This window comes from Homo sapiens, chromosome 7 (genome assembly GCF_000001405.40).
Source record: "Homo sapiens chromosome 7, GRCh38.p14 Primary Assembly".
In the NCBI taxonomy this organism is placed as follows: Eukaryota; Metazoa; Chordata; class Mammalia; order Primates; family Hominidae; genus Homo; species Homo sapiens.
This window is the reverse complement of record NC_000007.14, coordinates 122,294,958-122,312,970: the sequence shown is the minus strand read 5'-3', so window position 1 is coordinate 122,312,970 and position 18,013 is coordinate 122,294,958. Positions and strand designations below refer to the sequence as shown.

The 18,013-nt window shown below is 46.3% G+C and overlaps 1 protein-coding gene and 1 long non-coding RNA gene across 5 annotated transcripts, besides 2 other annotated features; one reads left to right on the top strand and one right to left on the bottom strand.

Moving 5' to 3' along the window:
- Nucleotides 520–1,032: an enhancer, noted in NCBI's record as "H3K4me1 hESC enhancer chr7:121951993-121952505 (GRCh37/hg19 assembly coordinates)". NCBI's record gives its function as "activates a minimal SCP1, AML or CMV promoter by ChIP-STARR-seq in naive H9 embryonic stem cells {active_cell/tissue: H9 hESC(naive)}" and the evidence as "EXISTENCE:reporter gene assay evidence [ECO:0000049][PMID:30033119]".
- Nucleotides 1,033–1,545: an enhancer, noted in NCBI's record as "H3K4me1 hESC enhancer chr7:121951480-121951992 (GRCh37/hg19 assembly coordinates)". NCBI's record gives its function as "activates a minimal SCP1, AML or CMV promoter by ChIP-STARR-seq in naive H9 embryonic stem cells {active_cell/tissue: H9 hESC(naive)}" and the evidence as "EXISTENCE:reporter gene assay evidence [ECO:0000049][PMID:30033119]".
- FEZF1 (FEZ family zinc finger 1) lies at nt 2,248–11,668 on the top strand. 4 transcript variants are annotated; one of them, XM_011516202.3, is made up of 6 exons: nt 2,248–2,786; nt 8,460–8,962; nt 9,113–9,334; nt 9,660–9,794; nt 10,040–10,172; nt 10,616–11,668. In XM_011516202.3, exons 2-6 carry the CDS (start codon nt 8,534–8,536, stop codon nt 10,972–10,974), a joined length of 1,278 nt encoding a protein of 425 aa, XP_011514504.1. In that variant the 5' UTR covers nt 2,248–2,786; nt 8,460–8,533; the 3' UTR covers nt 10,975–11,668. The 4 variants fall into 4 exon arrangements, with proteins under 4 accessions (XP_011514504.1, XP_005250394.1, NP_001019784.2 ...); XM_005250337.4 differs by having other exon boundaries at nt 8,460–9,334; NM_001160264.2 differs by lacking the exon at nt 2,248–2,786 and having other exon boundaries at nt 10,616–11,662.
- Nucleotides 2,894–9,313, bottom strand: FEZF1-AS1 (FEZF1 antisense RNA 1). The gene is made up of 7 exons (NR_036484.1): nt 8,703–9,313; nt 8,228–8,398; nt 6,709–7,683; nt 6,311–6,455; nt 5,483–5,668; nt 4,414–4,484; nt 2,894–3,387 (listed from the first exon to the last, which is right to left on the bottom strand). It is a non-coding gene; the product is annotated as an FEZF1 antisense RNA 1 (long non-coding RNA).

The following is an 18,013-nucleotide window of genomic DNA, read 5'->3' as shown; positions in this document are numbered from 1 at the left end:
GAAAGACCAAAGGGCACCTGAGCCTCTACCCCTCTTAACTAAAATAAGGGGATGCTGGGATCCTACCATCCCTGCCCCTGACTTTCCTTTTGCCCTGTGTCCCAAGGGGAGGTCGGGGGAGGGGGGGAAGGGGGGACTGCAAATAGAGCTCCAAAATTTGAATTACTGGTGGCATCTAGAAGAGTTCAAATGTGGGAAGGAGGGGTTGGGGGATTCAAAAAGCAACTACAGCAATCACATGTATTTTGCTGCTGCTGTATTTTACTTCTCAGTCCTCTATTTGAGTTGGCAAGTAGGAGTTGAGTTGACAGCAGGGTCTCTCTTTCAGTAGACATTGTGACCTTCACTTATTTAAGGAAATAATAAATTGGAATTTCCTATTAAAGGGCAATGACTTTGCTTTTAAAATGAAAAGCTCATGCCAATCAAATAAAAAGGAAATAGATACTTTGGAGAGTGAAGGACCCCAATTATTACTATGCCTGCACCTTTTGTACACAACATATGCTCTTAAGTTTTTTAAAAAAATCCTTCACCATTATTCAGAAATCTAAATCAACATTATTAAAGTCAATTTCTCTTTCTCTCCCTTTTTTCTCCTTCCTTTCCTCTCATTTCAACAGTGGTATGAGAGTTCAGATATTCTCTGCCGTGAGTAAAAAGCTCTGGAAATCAGCTATTGTGCCAACACCGGGAACATATCCAGGCCCATGGTGCGAAAATGAAATATGTGCTGTTGAATTATTATTTTTGTCCTTAAGGTTTACATCTACACCCTTGTATTATGTAAATTTCTGAGAAGCTGTGAATCACAAGGTTAGATAAAAGAGGGTCCCCCCCAACCCCCTCAACTCTCTCCCTCCTCATCCGTCTTCGCAAGCAACGGGAGCCGACCCCATTTAATCTTTGAATGATTCTCAGCCTTGTTCCTTTCTTTTTCCGGCTTTTTACCCCAGACCTCAACTTCCCTTCCCACCCTCGACCCAACGAGAAGGCAGGGGCCAGAGGCCGCGGTTGCAGCCCGGGTCCCCGCAGCTGGCCGCGTTCGTGACGTCAGCCGGCCGGCCCCTCGGGTCACCGTGGCCGCGGGACGCTGTTTGCGAGCTGCCAGCGTCAACACCCGCGCGGGGCGCTTAAAGCTTCGCGTTGTTTCCAGGAGCCTTTTCCTCTGTGTGGGACTGCTGAGAAACTATGAGGGCAGCCCCACTGTTCGTGAATTCAGAGAATTAACTGAACTTGAAGTAAGAGGAGACAGTGGGAAGAGGGAAAAAAAAAATCTTCTAAATTAATTTAAAGTGAGAAGGCAATAACATTTTAAAAGGTAGTAAGATTTCTTAATGATGGATCAAGCCTCTTCTTGGGATTGGATCTTAGTGCTCAACTCTTGAAACATGCACAAGGCGTGCAGAATCTGGTCTGGGAGAGGCCTAAGGGCGGGAAGGGAGGAAACAGAACAGCATCCACTTCCATCAACAAAAGGGGGCCGGCCAGTGGCTGAGTGCTTCCTCTTTTACAGAGGCTATGGAGGCCCGCGAGAGGTGGCCACGGGGTATGGCCCTCTTTGGACAGCCATGAAATACTCTCTTTTAGAGGAGATGCAGGGTTTCACTGGGAGAACTCGGGAATGAAAGAACAAATTGGAGAGTAAAGCCAAAGAAGGGAAGGTAGAAAGGCCTTTCTGTTAAGGTCTTAAACAGGAGAATCTAGTTAGAAAATTCTCTTTGCCCTGGGACCATAAGGAGACCCCAACTACTCTTAAGCACAGGCCAAACGGCTTCAAAAGGGAGGATTCTCGGAGGAAGGAGGTCGGCTAAAAAAATACACGAAAGGTTTTTGGAAGAGATACTCAGAGATGCTTCTCAGACATTCTTAAAATTTGACTTAAGAACGTATTTTCCAGGAAAGTCAAAATGACAGGCAAACCTAGTGAAAAGATGCTCTAGTTCCTCCTTAGGTATGCCACACCCCCGGGCCTGTTTTCTTTCACCTTGCGTCTAGATTAAATGACCCTTCAATTACACCCTGAGTCGTCAAAGCAAGTCTATTAGCGAGTGCCTGTTCAAAAACTTTCATCCAGGAGCTCTCCACCATCTGTTCCGCGGTCTCTTAAACCAGATCCGGCGCCCCCTCCCGAAACTCTTTGGAGCCTCCCTCGCCATCTCTCAGCCTTGGGGGGATGGAGCCGCCCCAGGACCTGCGGGAATGCAGAGGAGAAGGGGAGGAGCGCGATTGCGCCCGGGATGGGTTGCCAGACCAGCTGGGGCGGTGGTGGTCCAGAGGCCCGAGGTCGGCGGGACCTGATCGAAGGCAGCGCCGCGTCGACCACCCCGGGAGCCGGACGCTTGGGAGCCCCAGCCCGGCAGCGGCGCCCGGTCACTGAAGTTGCGCCCCAACTCCCAGCCGCCTCCAAGCTTCTCGAGCTAAGTTTCCTGACCCCTCCAAGGGAGTCTCACAGAGCTCGGTGGCCCTCGGCCTTGCCAACGTCACTTTAACTGTTTGGAACTCGTGAGCAAGAACCGAGAAGTGGAGAGCCCAGCCGGGGAGTTTTCAGCTTTTCTGTTTCACTTCGGGCTTCTTCTATTCAAATGGCTCTGCGCTGGCCACCGAATCCTGAATGAGGCGGGGCTCCTCTGCCCCAACTCCAGCAGCGGGAACTTGGTTCCCCTGGGCAGCCGGGGGCAGGGGGCGCCAAGGCCGTGGCGATAATGAAGGCTGAGACGGCCAAGGCCAGCGGGTCGGCGCGGGGCACTCCCGGGCCGGAGTGGCCATCGGCCGGAGTTCAGGAGGTAACTGAATTTATAAGCGGTTCTTAGAGCTTTCTAGCTCGAGGATTTTTATTTACCTCTACTGCTTCTCCATTTCACTAAGCTCGTTCTTTGCTCTGTGTTGTTTTAATTTCTATTATCGACTTTTATTTCATGGGATCACTTAAGAAAGTTTGAAAATAACATAAAAAATGCTTTAAACTTCGTGGGTAGTGTCAAGGAAACAGTCGAACCGTGTCTTGAATATGGTTGTTTTGTGTGTGTGTCTGCTTGTTTCTAATTTTGGCCACAAACACAAAATGTCTTTAAAATTGTCCAGGGACTGCTGCAGAACGCTAATCAATCAATTGCACGAAAACAGGTTTTTTCTATTATTGGAGGCAAGTATTTCAGTGTAGAGCAATAGAGCATGTTTGGGCTATCTTCTAATTGTTCGCCTTCCAGATTTCAGTAACACCCTTGTAAGTGACAAGCAAAACTTTGCTGGGTTTTGTTGCTTGACGCTGTTGCTCCACAGTAAAGGTTGGAGAAACTGGGTTACTTGTTTTATAAACTTCTTTTTTTCCATAAAGTCCAACCCTGAGTCATAGCCTCTCAGTCTGGAGGGACACACCTCACAGGCCTGTGGGAATGGGTGAGAAAAATCTCAGCATTAGTGGAGGGTCAGAAACAAACTGAGCCCAAGTGCTCGCTGTCTGTATTGCCTGCCACCTCATTAACAGCTCTCACATTTGGGCTCTTCATTTCCTTTCACAAACTGATTTGCTATGTAAATGCTGTTTTGAGAGAAATAATTTCACTGGGTTTAAATGAAATCCTAATATAAAAGAAATAATAACAACAAAGGTCTAGAGACAAATAATCCACCCTCACACTTCTTCCCCCAAAGAGAGGAGGGCTCTGTGAGTTAATCAACCCTTCCCACATTTATAACCTGTGATACTGTCCTTCACATTGCTTTAGGAACTTAGCAAAAATTCTTTATTTGCTACCAAACTAACTAAAAGCACACTAGTAGCCTTAAATTTGAACTTGTTGCCAATATGTTTGCTAACGTGTTGGAAAGTTAGTTCCCGTTGTGTATTAAGTAATCTGAGGTATTCAGAAACTCTTTCCTTGAACCTTATAGACCTTTGCTATTTGTGTCCCATCCCGTCACCCTGCCTCCATCACACACCAAAAGAAATAACAAAAGACCAGCCAGAGATAAAGACTATAAGCAGAAAACGCAGAGGAATTAAAAAACGTGTTTTTCCTTCTAGAAGTACAGTGTGTTGCCTTTGGTGCTATGTATTAAACAGGAAAAAGTGTAGATGTGCTTGAATGTCAAGGCTGGGGTGGGGGGTGATGTCAGAATAATAATAATGCTTTCGTCTCTCCTCCCTTAGCTCACAAGCTAAAGCAAAGAGAAAGCAGACTGTTGCTCTTGGTGAAGGGGCTGGGGGTCAGAGACGTTGAACAGGCCAGAAAACTCTAAAAACATGACCAGGGACAAGTCAATGAACTAGGGCAGAAAGTGGAATTAGTTATAATATTTTCCAATCCATTTTTAATTTAAAAAAATCAATAGTATTTTGTGACATATCAAGGAATAAGAGATTAGAGATTATGGCTTATTTGGTAATGTATGGCTCTATTATCTTATTACCTTTTATTTCGAATTGCAGTAACCATAGCCAGAAACTGCATTTGCTTATGATAGGGACTTCAACAAAAAGCCTGTGGAAATCATGAATATTTTTTAGTAATAGCAAGAACACAGCTTAGAAAGTATTGAAGTCAAAATCAGATTCCTTAGAAAAAGAGAATTTTAAATTACTTTAGAAAAGCAGGACTTTTTCTTATTTTTTAAATAGATCTTAACACAGAGTTTGTTATCTGGCCTCTTTATATCATGAACTGCTGTGGTTTCCTCAGGATATTTCATAAAGGATAAATCATACACTGAAACTCGCCTTCCATCAGGATTTGAGGTTATAAATACTGCCTTTCCATGGATGGAAAGGGGAGGCACACTTAATCATCAGCTCTCAGCAAAAAAATAGGATTATAGGATTCTCAAAGAAAATCCAAAGAAACTGTAAGAGTTTCTATTTTGCCATTAACAAAACAAACAAGGCTCCCTTGCATTTGTTTTAATAACTAAAAAATACTTGCATTGAAACGTTTTGAAAGCTTCTGAATTTGCTGAATATACTCTGTTTTTATTGCCTTTTTTGTTATTTTCAAATATATTTGGAAATAAAGTACTAGACAGATTGGACGGTAAGATAGAAGCCCTTTCTAAATATATTTTGTGTTTTGTGACAATTCTTATTTAATAGAGATAGTATTACTAATTAACATGTGTTTTTGGTTAGGTTTTGAAAAAATTAACAAATGTTGGATATCAAGGCCTGGAGTTGTAAAGCACCTTTTCAGTCTTTAGTAAACTCAAGGCCATCTTAAAGGAAGAGCATAATTGATGCTTTGCCATATTTGTGTTAACTCAAATGACATTTTCAAACACTTGCCAAAAGGGCAAATCCTGAAAAGACTAGTGAAAAGCAAACTGTTGAAATATAAACTATACAAAGCATGCATACCTCTTAGCCAATATTTTTTCCTTTTTAGTTTGGTATACACCAAAGGAGAAATTTACAGAGGTCAAAGAAAGGCTCTTTTGCAGTTAAGGAGAGGGGAGGGGGAGGAGAGGAAGGGGAGAGTGAGGGACACACCACAAGCGTAAAACGAACTGGTGGCATTCAGTCAAGAAGGCAGGTAAGGCTCCAGAGGCCGCGAATTGTGTACAAGTCAGCTGGACTCTCCAAAGCCTTCCAGAGCCGGGCTGCTTCGCGCTTCTTGGCTTTTTCCTTTCAACCTAGCCCGGTGGCGGAGGAGTGCAGCAGGAGGGGGATTTTTCGCTGCTGGGAAGTGGCAGGTAGGAAAAGGAATCTGATCCGGCCCAAAAGTCAGCAATTAAAGTCTTAACCGCGACCCATCTGTCGTGGGACAGAGAACCCCCCACCCCCCTTTGCCCCAGCAAAGCCCTTCCCGTGCCCTTTGTCTGAGCAGGGGAAAGGAGGAGACTGGTTCTGCGGCCCCAACAGCAAAAGGAAAGAAAATTTCCAGCGCTGACCAATACTGAGTGTCTGCGCCCGGTCCAAGGACAACTACGAAGCGCCTCTCGGGGATGTGGCGCCTCTCCGCTTGCTCTGCCCAGGTGCTCTGTCCCGTGGCCCCAGCAAAAGGAAAGAAAAATTTGCAGTCTGGGCGAATCCAAAGTAGGTGCACCCGGGCCAAGGACGGTTCCAAAGGGCCGCCTTGGAGTGTAGCGCCTCTTTGCTTTCTCCCCCCGGGCGCTCTGCCCTTCTCTGCTGCATCAGTTGTCCCAGCCTGAAGCCACCTCGAGGCCTGAAACGAGGCACTCCCAGGCCTAGCTGCTGAAGCCCGTCGTATTCAGCCAGACCTCTCCCCCCATCTTGCCCCTTGGCTGTCCTCAACTTCCAATAAGACTCACTCCCCCTCCCCCATTTCTTCAGCCTGTGAGCTTTCCCACCACTCACCCAGCTGCCACTGCCTTTCTGTTAGACATCAGGCGCGTTCCCAGCCCAAGCTCTCTTCCTTTCCACCCCTCTTGGCTCTTGGGGCAGAGGCGGAACTGATTTTCGCGGAAAGTTAGAGTGGGGCGGAGGGACCCGGGTAGCTTGCCTGGCATGTGTTGAGAATGGGGTAGAGAGGAGGGAATACTTTGACGTCAATTTCCTTCGTTTAAGGTCCAGTTTCGCATCTTTGAGTGAAATTGCTCAGGGACTTAATAATGCCAGGGTTTCTAGTCCGCCGTTATCCAGCCTTCCGGGGCCAACCCTTTTCAGAGCTCTAGCAGAAGGACGCCCCCACTACACTTGGCCCAATACCTGACACCCGCCACCACCTGTCTCACAGCCACGTGGGGTTAACTCACCAGGCAGATGGCACCTTGAGCTGCTGCGGTCGGCCACTCACTTCAGGGTCCAGGCCCCACCGCCCTTTGCTTGCAGCTCTGCGCGCTCCTTTGGCCTCCTCACGCCAGCTTACAGCTGCCGTGTCTTCAAACTCTGTGCAGCCCTTCCTGCGCGCCTAGCTGCGGGGTTCAGCTCTGCGTGATCGCCGGCTGGCAAGAGACTGCGCCGGGGAAGGTGCGCGCCGCAGCTTCCAGCGCGCTCCTGGACGCTCTTGCCTGGGCGGCGGGAGCCCGCACAGTCGGAGCCGCAGCCGTAGGCGTCTTCCCGGAAACCTCCACACGCTCCACCGCGCCGCCCCAGGAGTTTCGGCCGAGGTGCCACACCCGGCGGGTGTTCGGCTGGGGGGCGTTGCAGGGGAAATGGTCTCTACGCGCGCTCTTTGGGAGGCACAAGTGCACCTGTGGACACAACTCTGGCGCCGGCAAGTCTCCTTGATGCGCACAGACATCCAGGCTGCCGCCTGCGCTGCTTAGAGGAGGCTTGCAGACACCGGCAACCGGAGTGGGGATTAATACACTCTGTTTCCCTTCTCCGCTCGGCATTCAGTATTTAAAATGCTCCGGGAGAGCTCTAGCTGAGCGCAGGTACTTAAGAAAGAAATGCTCTTTCCAGACTCTCAATGGAAACTCGGAAGCGTGCGCGCGCGCGCGTCTGTGTGTATCCTGGGTGGGGTCCGATCGAGTCAAGGTTGCTTGTGGTGTGACACCCAATTATTCCTTGCAACTCCTCAACTTTGTGGATGAAAGTGCGACTTTCCCAGGCCTATTGCCGCGGGCATTGCCTTTACAAAACCACAAACACAGAACAAGCCTCCTAAGGCTTTTAATTTTCGGGGCGTTTGGGGAGGCCAGTTACCTGCCGGCGTCTTCTAAATGGTCCAGACTCGGTTCGGGCCGCGGAGACTCCGGGATTCCGGGAGCGGGCAACCCCGAGCCCTGGAGGAAGAAATAGGTCTGCGGAGGTGGCACAGATCTGACCCGGCCCAGCCCGGCCCAGCCCGGCCCACCCAGGCCCAGTGGAACCAAGCAGCGAAACCTCGGATTTCACTGCCGAGGCTTCCTAGCCGAGGCTTTCTGGAGCTTGGCGTTTGATAAATATAGCCTGGCGTTTGCCCCTGAATTAGACTCCGTTTCCTTATTTAGCCCTTGCACAATGATTTTAGATGATGTCACTTAGAGCTAAACGAGAAAATTGATCTCAGATTTGCTTGGCCTCTAAAGCCTGGTTAAGCAGATTGAGAATTAGAAAGGCAGAGGAAGCAAAAGGGGGGTGGGGATGGGGGGGTGCGGAGGGTAGTGAAGTGTGCGCGGCAGAGTGTGTGCGCAGAGGGGAGGGCGCGCCAAGCGGGTGAAAGCGCCCCCGCCTTTTCTGGGCGGGGAACCTCACTCACCAATGAAAAGTAGTTACTGACTGCAGATGAAAAAAAAAAAAGTTTTCCTGTTGACTGTTGGAAGCGAATTGAGCAATTATCTAGTTTACCTTCTCCTCTTGGAAGTTAACGATTGGCGAGATCTTGGCTGCGTTATTGACACAACACTTTCTATTGATAGAAATAAGTAGTGATTGTCCCCGAGTCATTGGTGCGCCAAGAACTCTGCGATGGGCTGGCAGGAGTCCATTGGGCTGGGCAGGCAGGTTCGGCTGGTGATGCTGGGGAGGAGGAGGAGGAGGAGGCTACTGGTGGTGATGGTGCCCGTCCCCCTCTCCGCAGGTCTGTGACAAGCAGGGAACAAGGCAACGGACGGCGCAACCCAGCCCCGGCTGACGGACGCTGGCGACTCAGACATGGACAGTAGCTGCCACAACGCGACTACCAAAATGTTAGCGACTGCTCCAGCTCGGGGCAACATGATGAGCACGTCCAAACCCTTGGCTTTCTCCATTGAACGAATCATGGCGCGCACCCCAGAGCCCAAGGCCCTGCCAGTCCCCCACTTCCTGCAGGGAGCCTTACCCAAGGGGGAACCCAAGCACTCTCTGCATCTCAACTCGTCGATCCCCTGCATGATCCCCTTCGTGCCTGTGGCCTACGACACGAGCCCCAAGGCAGGAGTGACGGGCTCCGAGCCGCGGAAGGCCAGTCTGGAGGCCCCGGCGGCGCCCGCGGCGGTGCCCTCGGCTCCCGCATTCAGCTGCAGCGACCTGCTCAACTGCGCACTGAGTCTCAAGGGCGACCTGGCCCGCGACGCGCTGCCGCTGCAGCAGTACAAGCTGGTAAGGCCGCGTGTGGTCAACCACTCTTCATTCCACGCCATGGGCGCCTTGTGCTACCTGAACCGAGGTGACGGCCCATGCCACCCGGCAGCCGGCGTGAACATCCACCCGGTGGCCTCCTACTTCCTCAGTTCCCCTTTGCACCCGCAGCCAAAAACGTATTTAGCCGAAAGGAATAAACTGGTGGTCCCGGCGGTGGAGAAATACCCTTCTGGAGTAGCTTTCAAAGACCTGTCCCAGGCTCAGCTGCAGCATTACATGAAAGAAAGCGCCCAGCTTCTGTCGGAAAAAATCGCGTTCAAAACCTCGGATTTCAGCCGAGGCTCTCCTAATGCCAAGCCCAAAGTTTTCACTTGCGAAGTGTGTGGAAAGGCAAGTACAATGCAAAACGGAGATCCTTTCCTTCCCTCCCTTCCTTCCTTCCTTCCTTCCCTCCCTCCCTCCCTCCTTCCCTCCTTCCTTCCCTCCCTCCTTCCTTCCTTCCTTCCTTCCTTCCTTCCTTCCTTCCTTCCTTCCTTCCTTCCTTCCTTCCTTCCCTCCCTCGCTCCTCCTTTCCTTCCTCCCTTTTTAGTATTTTGGGGGTAATTATTTGCATACACTTTTTGTTAAGATTCTCTTCCTCCTACCCTCTCTCTGCCCGGTTTGATTTCAAAGTTACTTGTGCGGCTAACCTGTTCTACGTGTGTTTAATTTTAAGGTCTTTAATGCGCACTATAACTTAACCCGTCACATGCCAGTGCACACAGGAGCCAGACCCTTCGTTTGCAAAGTGTGCGGAAAAGGTTTCAGGCAAGCAAGCACCCTGTGCAGGCACAAGATCATTCACACGCAGGTGTGTTCATCTGTCTCAATTTCACCTAGTTTGCTTCCGAACTGTTTGCAGAAAAACAGCCGATAAAACCTTACTCTTTAGGATAACGTTCATTTAAAAAGTGCTAGCTAAACAGGGTGAATGCCATGTATTGTTTGCTTTTGTTCTGCTTGAAAGTGTTTAAGCATTACTGTGTTTTGAGCTTGCAGAACTTCACATAATTAGAAAATATCTAAATGTCTCTGCTTTTCCTTTCTCCTGCTTAGGAAAAACCTCACAAATGTAACCAGTGTGGCAAAGCATTTAATAGAAGTTCCACTTTAAACACTCATACCCGAATACACGCGGGCTACAAACCGTTTGTGTGTGAATTCTGTGGCAAAGGGTTTCATCAAAAAGGTATGCAAACCAGGAAATGTCTCTCATGGTTAGTCTTATGAAAAGCCATACTTAATACTTTCGGGATGTTTTAGAAGACGATGTTTAAAGTGTAGTTATGTGGCACTTTTGTTGCCATTCTAACTCCCTACTCGAAGTCTGATTAGTATTAGAGAAAAGCATGATTCATAAAACAAGGGTATATGTTTTAACTGCATGCTCTCATTGTATGTAATTGGACTGATAAATGTGTATTAAAATTTAAGGAAACGGCATCACTGTTGATGCGATGCTTGAAAATAAACTTGGGGAGACAAGTGCAGGCACAGATAGTAGCCCTGCACTTGTTGTGGGACCTGTGGCGGCTCTTCTGCTTGCCTGGCGCTACCTTCCACGTGTCTGCTCCTCCCTTTTTAAGCTATTTTTTTTTTCAGAACCATATTCCTGTCATTTGTGTGTTTCAGGGAATTACAAAAACCACAAGTTGACCCACAGCGGGGAGAAGCAGTTCAAGTGCAATATCTGCAACAAGGCTTTCCACCAGGTTTACAACCTCACCTTCCACATGCACACCCACAACGACAAGAAGCCTTTCACCTGCCCCACGTGCGGCAAGGGTTTCTGCAGGAACTTTGACCTCAAGAAGCATGTCCGCAAGCTGCACGACAGCAGCCTGGGGCTGGCCCGCACGCCAGCTGGCGAACCAGGCACTGAACCGCCGCCCCCGCTACCGCAGCAGCCGCCGATGACGCTGCCTCCTCTGCAGCCGCCGCTGCCAACCCCGGGGCCCCTGCAGCCCGGGCTCCACCAGGGCCACCAGTGATCGAGGCTAAGGGTCCTCCCAGCCTCAGCCGTGCCCCCACGCTGAGGCAGCGGCAGACTAGAGCTCCTGGTCCGAGTTCGTCTGCAGACCCCAGGGCATGTTGGGCCCCACACTTCAGGGCCGACCAGAAGCCTCTGCATCCCCTGGCCTTTCGCCTCTTGCATGCACCTGCTAAATGGTTTTGTGTATTATATTCTATATAGGCACTAACAATTATGAAAAATTTGGAGGGTTTTGCTTGTTTTCTGTTTTTCTTTTTCTTTTTTTTTAATTTGGAAAGACTTTTCATCTTGGGTGGAGAGATGGTGTTTATTTTGTTTTGTTTTGTTTAAACAAATTTCTGCTATATTTATTGAGATCTGTATTATTCTACCCGGGAATGCTGCATCATTTTAATTTTATTATTGTATATATTTCCATTGTGTTGATTCTCCGGTCTCAAGATGTCTGCTGGATGTTGATCATTTCCTCTTTCCCTGAAGTAACAAAACACTGTGTGTATGTCATATATACACGCATAGATGTGTGCGCCCATAGGGGTACATTCCACATTCGTGAGCACACACCCATACACATTAGATAAGGGTGGTTCATTATGGATGATTTTGAATTTTGGTTTTGATTATTGCACGTGAAAATTGATTCATTGACTGTTGGAAATAAATACTTGGAACATGCTTATTTAATCAACAAACTTTAGGGCTCTGTTCATACTATTCAGCTAAAGATCCCTGACTCTGACCCCCTCATCCCTCCGCCTTTTTAAAATCTAAAACCCTGGATTAGTAATACTTAATGTTTTGGTCTGAAAATCTATCAAGTGCAAATAGTCTCTTCTAAATGGTTACACCTTTGGGTAAAGTTATGAAATCTGGTAAAGTTCAGAAGCAGAAGACATGGAGTTTTCTAATAGAAACATAAATTTGGCTTGGACCACCTGATACGTTCGTAGTGCACAGTTAAATGGGAACAACGTATCCAGTAGCTGTATGCAATGTACATCTCCTCAAACGCATTACAATCATAGATAGACAGGTATCTATTGTTTGCATCCTGACGGCACATACTGACTTGTACACAGCTGGCAAACGGAGCCTCCGTGTTTTTACATGTGTATGTATGTTTATAGACGAATATACTTCCATTCAAGGAGGAAACATGGATGAAAACCAAACTGTGGCGGGTGCCAGGTCCTTGAAATGCTTCAAGTGTTAATCAGCGGCTCCGCTGTGAGCTCGGGCTCTGGTGTTTCTAACTGCACGTCTCTCCTGTTTTCTTGCCAAAACAATGAAACAACTGCTAAAGACTTTAATTAAGAGGGGTAATTAGTTCAGATTTATCAAAGCCGGGTTGTTATACTATTAGCTGCTCAGTAGAAGCTGCCAGACAAACAGCCCAGCACCGTAGTGCTACTGCAGCGGGGCCACATCCCGGGAGGGCGACTGGGGGGAGCGGGCCCCGGGGTCCTCGCCTCGCCGCTTCGGACTCCACCACCCCGCCAGGCCCGGGGCCAGTGCGGCCAGCCCCGCAGGCCTCAGGGGCCCCGTGGCCCCTCCCCCGGCCCACTCTCTCCCTCCAGGGCTGTTGTCGCGGAGAATCCACCATCGGTCCACACCGCGGGCCCAGGTTCTACAGAGTCCAGGGATCTCCTTTCTGCACCCACCGTAGCGCGTCCTCACCAGCTCCGGGACCGCCCCGACAGTTGCGGGGAATAAACTTAAATCTGTGGCCCCGCCTCACTTCTATGAGTCCTGCGGCGCCCAGGAAAAGGCGGCGCGGAGCTGAGAAAGGCGAGACCGAGACCGGAGATGTGCAGGGGACACTGCAGGGGCGCGGCGGCTGCCACCCGAACTCACATTTCATGGCGGGGAAAGACTGACCGCTCTGGTCACCGAGAGTGGGTGACCTGAGTGCTTCTCAACGGCCTAGGAAGCAGGGAGATTACTAACAGCCCCTGTGGGGTGATCGCGGACGGGTAGGTGACCCAGCCCCGCAGGGACCCTCACGCCAAGTCCGGCCTGAGCTCCTTCCGGGTTGTGGAGCGAGGTTGGGGGAATCTAGAGAGCACGGACCTGGTGTGGGCTGGGAAGGTCCCCAGAACAGGGAGGTCCTGACACTTCCTGCAGACATCGGGTCCAGACCTTTCTCAACGCTTGTGCTAGTACGCACGCCCTTTGGACACAGGGAACAAGCTCCAGCCCAGCCATTATTAGATCGAAAACCGATGTTTCTCCTTTCCTGACCTCATGCCCCGACCTTGCCCACTGTTGGGGCCAAATCCATGTTAGATTTGACTTCGGAAAGCGAGGGAGCGAGGGTCTTGGAATTCCATAGTTGGCTGGATTCCGAATCTATGCGGCCCTAAGTAGCTCCATCTCTCACAGAATATCACAGCTGATTTGATAATCTTGTCTCAGGCTCTGGCCACATTCCATGACAGCTGCCTGTCACGAAGGAGTTTTGAGAGATGCTGCAGAGTTTATGAATCACCCTTTCCAAAGTAGCTTAGTTGGATTTTTAAAGCATTCGGTTTGAGTAAATGTGAATGAGATCAGGAGTCGTTATAATTTGCAACCTATACATTTCAGTGAAAAAGCAGAAAATGGCCTTTGCTTCTTGAACTTGTCAATACATATTTGAACTTATTCTCAAAACCCAGGGTGTAGATTCTTCTAGACATTCGAGATGACACGATCTTACTGGTGGAAAGCAAAATGAATATTATTGAGGAAGATTACTCAACCATTAAATACCCCAGGCCAGTGTACTTTGACATATTGGGGTTGGGGGTACTCTTCTATGGAATAATATAATTGGTTTGTTTCAATCCAGAAAAAAAGAAAGAGAGAAAGGAGGGAGAAGGAGAAAAGAGAGGGAGGTTGAGAGAGAAAGAGAGAGAGAGGGAGAGGAGAGGAGAGGAGAGGAGAGGAGAGGAGAGGAGAGGAGAGGAGAGGAGAGGAGAAAGATGAGGAGAGGAAAAAGAAAGCCTAAGAAGAAAAGATGAGAATGAATAGAATAAGAGAAGGAAAGAAACAGAAAAAATAGAGAATCAGTTATCGTACATTCCACATTGTAATGTGGAATGACTTTGTTATAAGGTCTGATCTGGGATGGTGCAATAGTTCCAGTTAAGGCAGGCACAAGGAAATTATTGTCTGCTCACATGTTTGAGCAGCTGGGAGTGTTGGTGATTAAGTAGAGGAAGCCAAAAGGAAATTCTCTAAAATGAAGCACTCAAGAGAACTACTTTTCCGGAGGTAAATTATCAATGAACTTTGATTTATGATAAAGCTGTTAGAGCTTACATCAAGGAGAATCTTCTTAAAGAGAGTATGAGCTTAGGGATTAAGTTTATGGGAGAAAAAAAATTGATGAAGTGGAACACTTAGCTAATAGTCAGGGAAAGACCTTACAATTCTCTCGCCTCAACTAATATTGAAAGGTGATTTTTTTCCTTCAACTATCTAACCTCTGCATGTGTGTATGTCTCTGTGTGTGCATGTCTCTGTGTTACACGTGTCTTATATAGATTTTTATGCTTGCTCATGAAACAGCTTCCCTAAAAGTATGAATTGAAACTTGGTTTTGTCCCAGTCCACCTTCTTTTGATCAGACATGAGCCAGCAAACTCTCTCATGTTTAGTGAGGAAGAGAGGCCACTGTCCAGATTATCTGCTGAGGGAAATGGTTTATCTTCAGCTCCCTCTGTTGGAATTAACTTTTGGTATAAGGAAGGTGGCCTTCCTCTGGAAAGGGCAGCAGAGACTAATTTTAGAAACTTGGTGATTCACTGAGACCTTATATTTAGTTCGGTTTTGGAAATCAGAGCATAGAACATAATTCACATTGTAAGTAGTGATTTCCTATATTTTTTTTAAATTTTTTTGAGACAGTGTCTTGCTCTGTCACCCAGGCTGGGGTGCAATGGCACACTCATGGCTCACTGCAGCCTCTACCTCTGATGCTCAAGCGATCCTCCTGCCTCAGCCTCCCAAGTAGCTGGGACCAGAGGTACATGCCACCATGCCCGGCTAATATTTGTATTTTTGGTAGAGACAAGATTTTGCCATGTTGCCTAGGCTGGTCTTGAACTCCTGGGCTCAAGTGATACTCCTGCCTCCAAATCCCAAAGTGCTGGGATTACAGGCATGTTACATGTGTCTTACCACACCCAGACAAATTCCTATCTATTTTATTTTAACACAGAACCCAAATCCTGATTTCCAATAATCTCTTCCAAAGGTAACAATTTGTTTAGATTTCCCAAATTTTAGTTTAAGAACAAGTTATTATGCAAGAGTAAGACTAAAGTGTCAATTTTTAATAGTAAATGAAAGCATTGCATATGGGACTCATCAAAGCTGTTACTTGTTAGTGATGCTTGAAGCTTAGTGAGTTTCTTGTGGAACTTTGCTCCTCTTCAAGTATGGAAGAAATTAATCTACAAGATGCAATGAAGTCATAATTCCCAGAATGTGTGTATCCTGTTTCATAGATTTCTCCCTCATCAATATCAGAAATCCTAATTTTGCTAGAACTGGTAACAACTCAGAATTAACTAAAGTATAACTGTAGTGGGTATATTTTGCCTTGTAAAGTATTTATTGTAACACTTGCAGTATAAAATACAGTGATCTCAAATTCAAAATTGGAGCAGAAACAAAAATGTTTTCTTTTTCACTTTATAAACCTATGTACTGGGTAAATCTGTTACTCATGAAGTTTATGATTTTAAGGGCCCACAACTTATTGTTGTTACCAAAGAGAGTGCATTTTAAAAAGCATTAAAATTAAAACCAACGTAAATTTCAATGGGTAAGAATATGAAGTTGTTGGCTGTTGAGATAAAAAGTAATTTTGAACCCAATGAAACATTGTCTTTTTGCTATATTTTTGTTAAAGCCACAGATTACTCTCACACAAGAAGTTATTTGTGTCCATTGGGTTAATTAAAATCTGGATAACAAACTGTATTTGTGAGTAGAAAATACCTTGCTATGAATTTCATTGCTGGCTGGGTGCGGTGGCTCACGACTGTAATCCCAGCACTTCGGGAGGCCAAGGCAGGTGGATCACCTGAGGTCAGGAGTTCAAGACAAGCCTAGTCAACATGGTGAAACCCCGTCTCTACTAAATATATAAAAAATTAGCCAGGTGTGGTGGCAGGCGCCAGCTACTTGGGAGTCTGAGGCAGGAGGATTGCTTGAACCCCGGAGGCAGAGGTTGTAGTGAGCTGATATCGCACCTTTGCACTCCAGCCTGGACAACAAGAACAAGAACAGAGCTACATCTCAAAAAAAAAAAAAAAAAAAAGATTTTAATTGCTTCTAGAAATTAATGCAGTGTGTCCATTTCAGCTTCAGGACAAACTAAAGACAAATAGTGATATACTATTCAACACACTGGTTATTTGCATGATTTTGGTGTTAAAGAAATTGCCAGTTCAAGCTAGCCTAGGTTATCTCCCTCCATGCAAAAGCGAAGAGGATGCCTAGCGTTTAAATGACCTTGATATGAAAACCTATCTCTGTTATTGTAATTTTCTCCATACATTGCTACATGTTGCCTATAATGATCTTGGAGAAAAAGTCAAAATTCATCATGTAATTGAATGAGTATAAAGTTATTACAAATCATTATGCACATTTTCTGTTCAAGACTGAGGTGACACTGGTGTCAAATGAAATCATGTCACTGTTGGTCTTATGGAGATTAAGTTACTAAGTAAAGATTAAATAAAATTCTGCCAGGACAGGTCTCCAGGGTTAATATTTTGCTGTCAAACAAACAAATGTTGCTCCTGGGTACGAAGGTGTGGGAATGGAGAAAGAAAGCATGAGGTATCAGTTTCTAACTAGAGCTAGAAATCTATCACAAAATGTAGAGAAGATCATCAGTTTGATTTAGCTTTGTTCTTCTTAGTAGGAATAATGAAGACTTTTCTTTTTGTCTGAGAAATCTGAAAGTTTAGATCAATGCATGACTCTCTAGTTACAATAACAAGGTGAAGTCTTTTGACAAGCCACAATGGAAATGTAACTTATCAATTAAATATAATAAATATGATAACCAAATCTGGAGTGTGTGTCTTAGTTAGCTCAGACTGTTGTAATAAAATATCATAGACTGGGTGACTTAAACAGCTGAAATGTTTTTCTCACTGTTCTGGAGGCTGGAAGTCTCAGATCAGGATACTAGCATGGCCTTCTTCTGGTGAGAGCTCTCTTTCTGGTTTGCAGATCTACCTTCTTGCTGTGCATTCACATGACCTCTTCTTGTGCCTCCTGGGGAGAGACAGAGAAAGCAAGCTCTTGATTTTCTCTTTTTATAAGGGCACTAATCCCATCCAAGGCTCCACCCTCACAACCTCATCTACCTCTAGTTGCCTCCCAGAGGCCCTATCTCCAAACACCATCATATTCAGGATCAGGGCATCAACAAATGAATTCTGAGGGGACACAAACATTCAGTACATAGCAAACATACACTATGTTTGTATGTTTGTAGTGTATGTTTGTGATATAGCAGTGGGTGCAGTATTCCAAAAGTGTAACTTGTTTACACAAAGCTCTTAATAAAAGTGGACTTACATTTTTAAAATTTCAGCAAAATCTACATTTTGGGAATCTCTAAAGGATAAACAACCCAGCAACCCAGTTTCTTCAACAAATAATTGTAAGGAAGAGAGAGAAGTAGAGGAATAGAGAAAGGAAGAGAGAGAGAGAGAGACAGAGAGAGGAAAGAGAGAGAAAGAGAGAGAACAAGGAAACCTATTTTTTAAAAAGACTTAAAAAAAAAAGAATAATCAATTATTACATGTGAATCTTATTTTAATCCCAATTCAATGAATAAACTGTAAAAATAAAGTCACATATTACATCTAAAATTACTGGGAATTTGAACACTGGGCATTTAATAAAATTAAGGAATTATGCTTACTTTTTAAGATGTGAAAAATGTAGCATACTTTTGTGTTAAAATAGTTTTTTAGAGCTCTGTATTCTGTTACTTAAGTGTAAAATGATAAGATTTCTGGGAT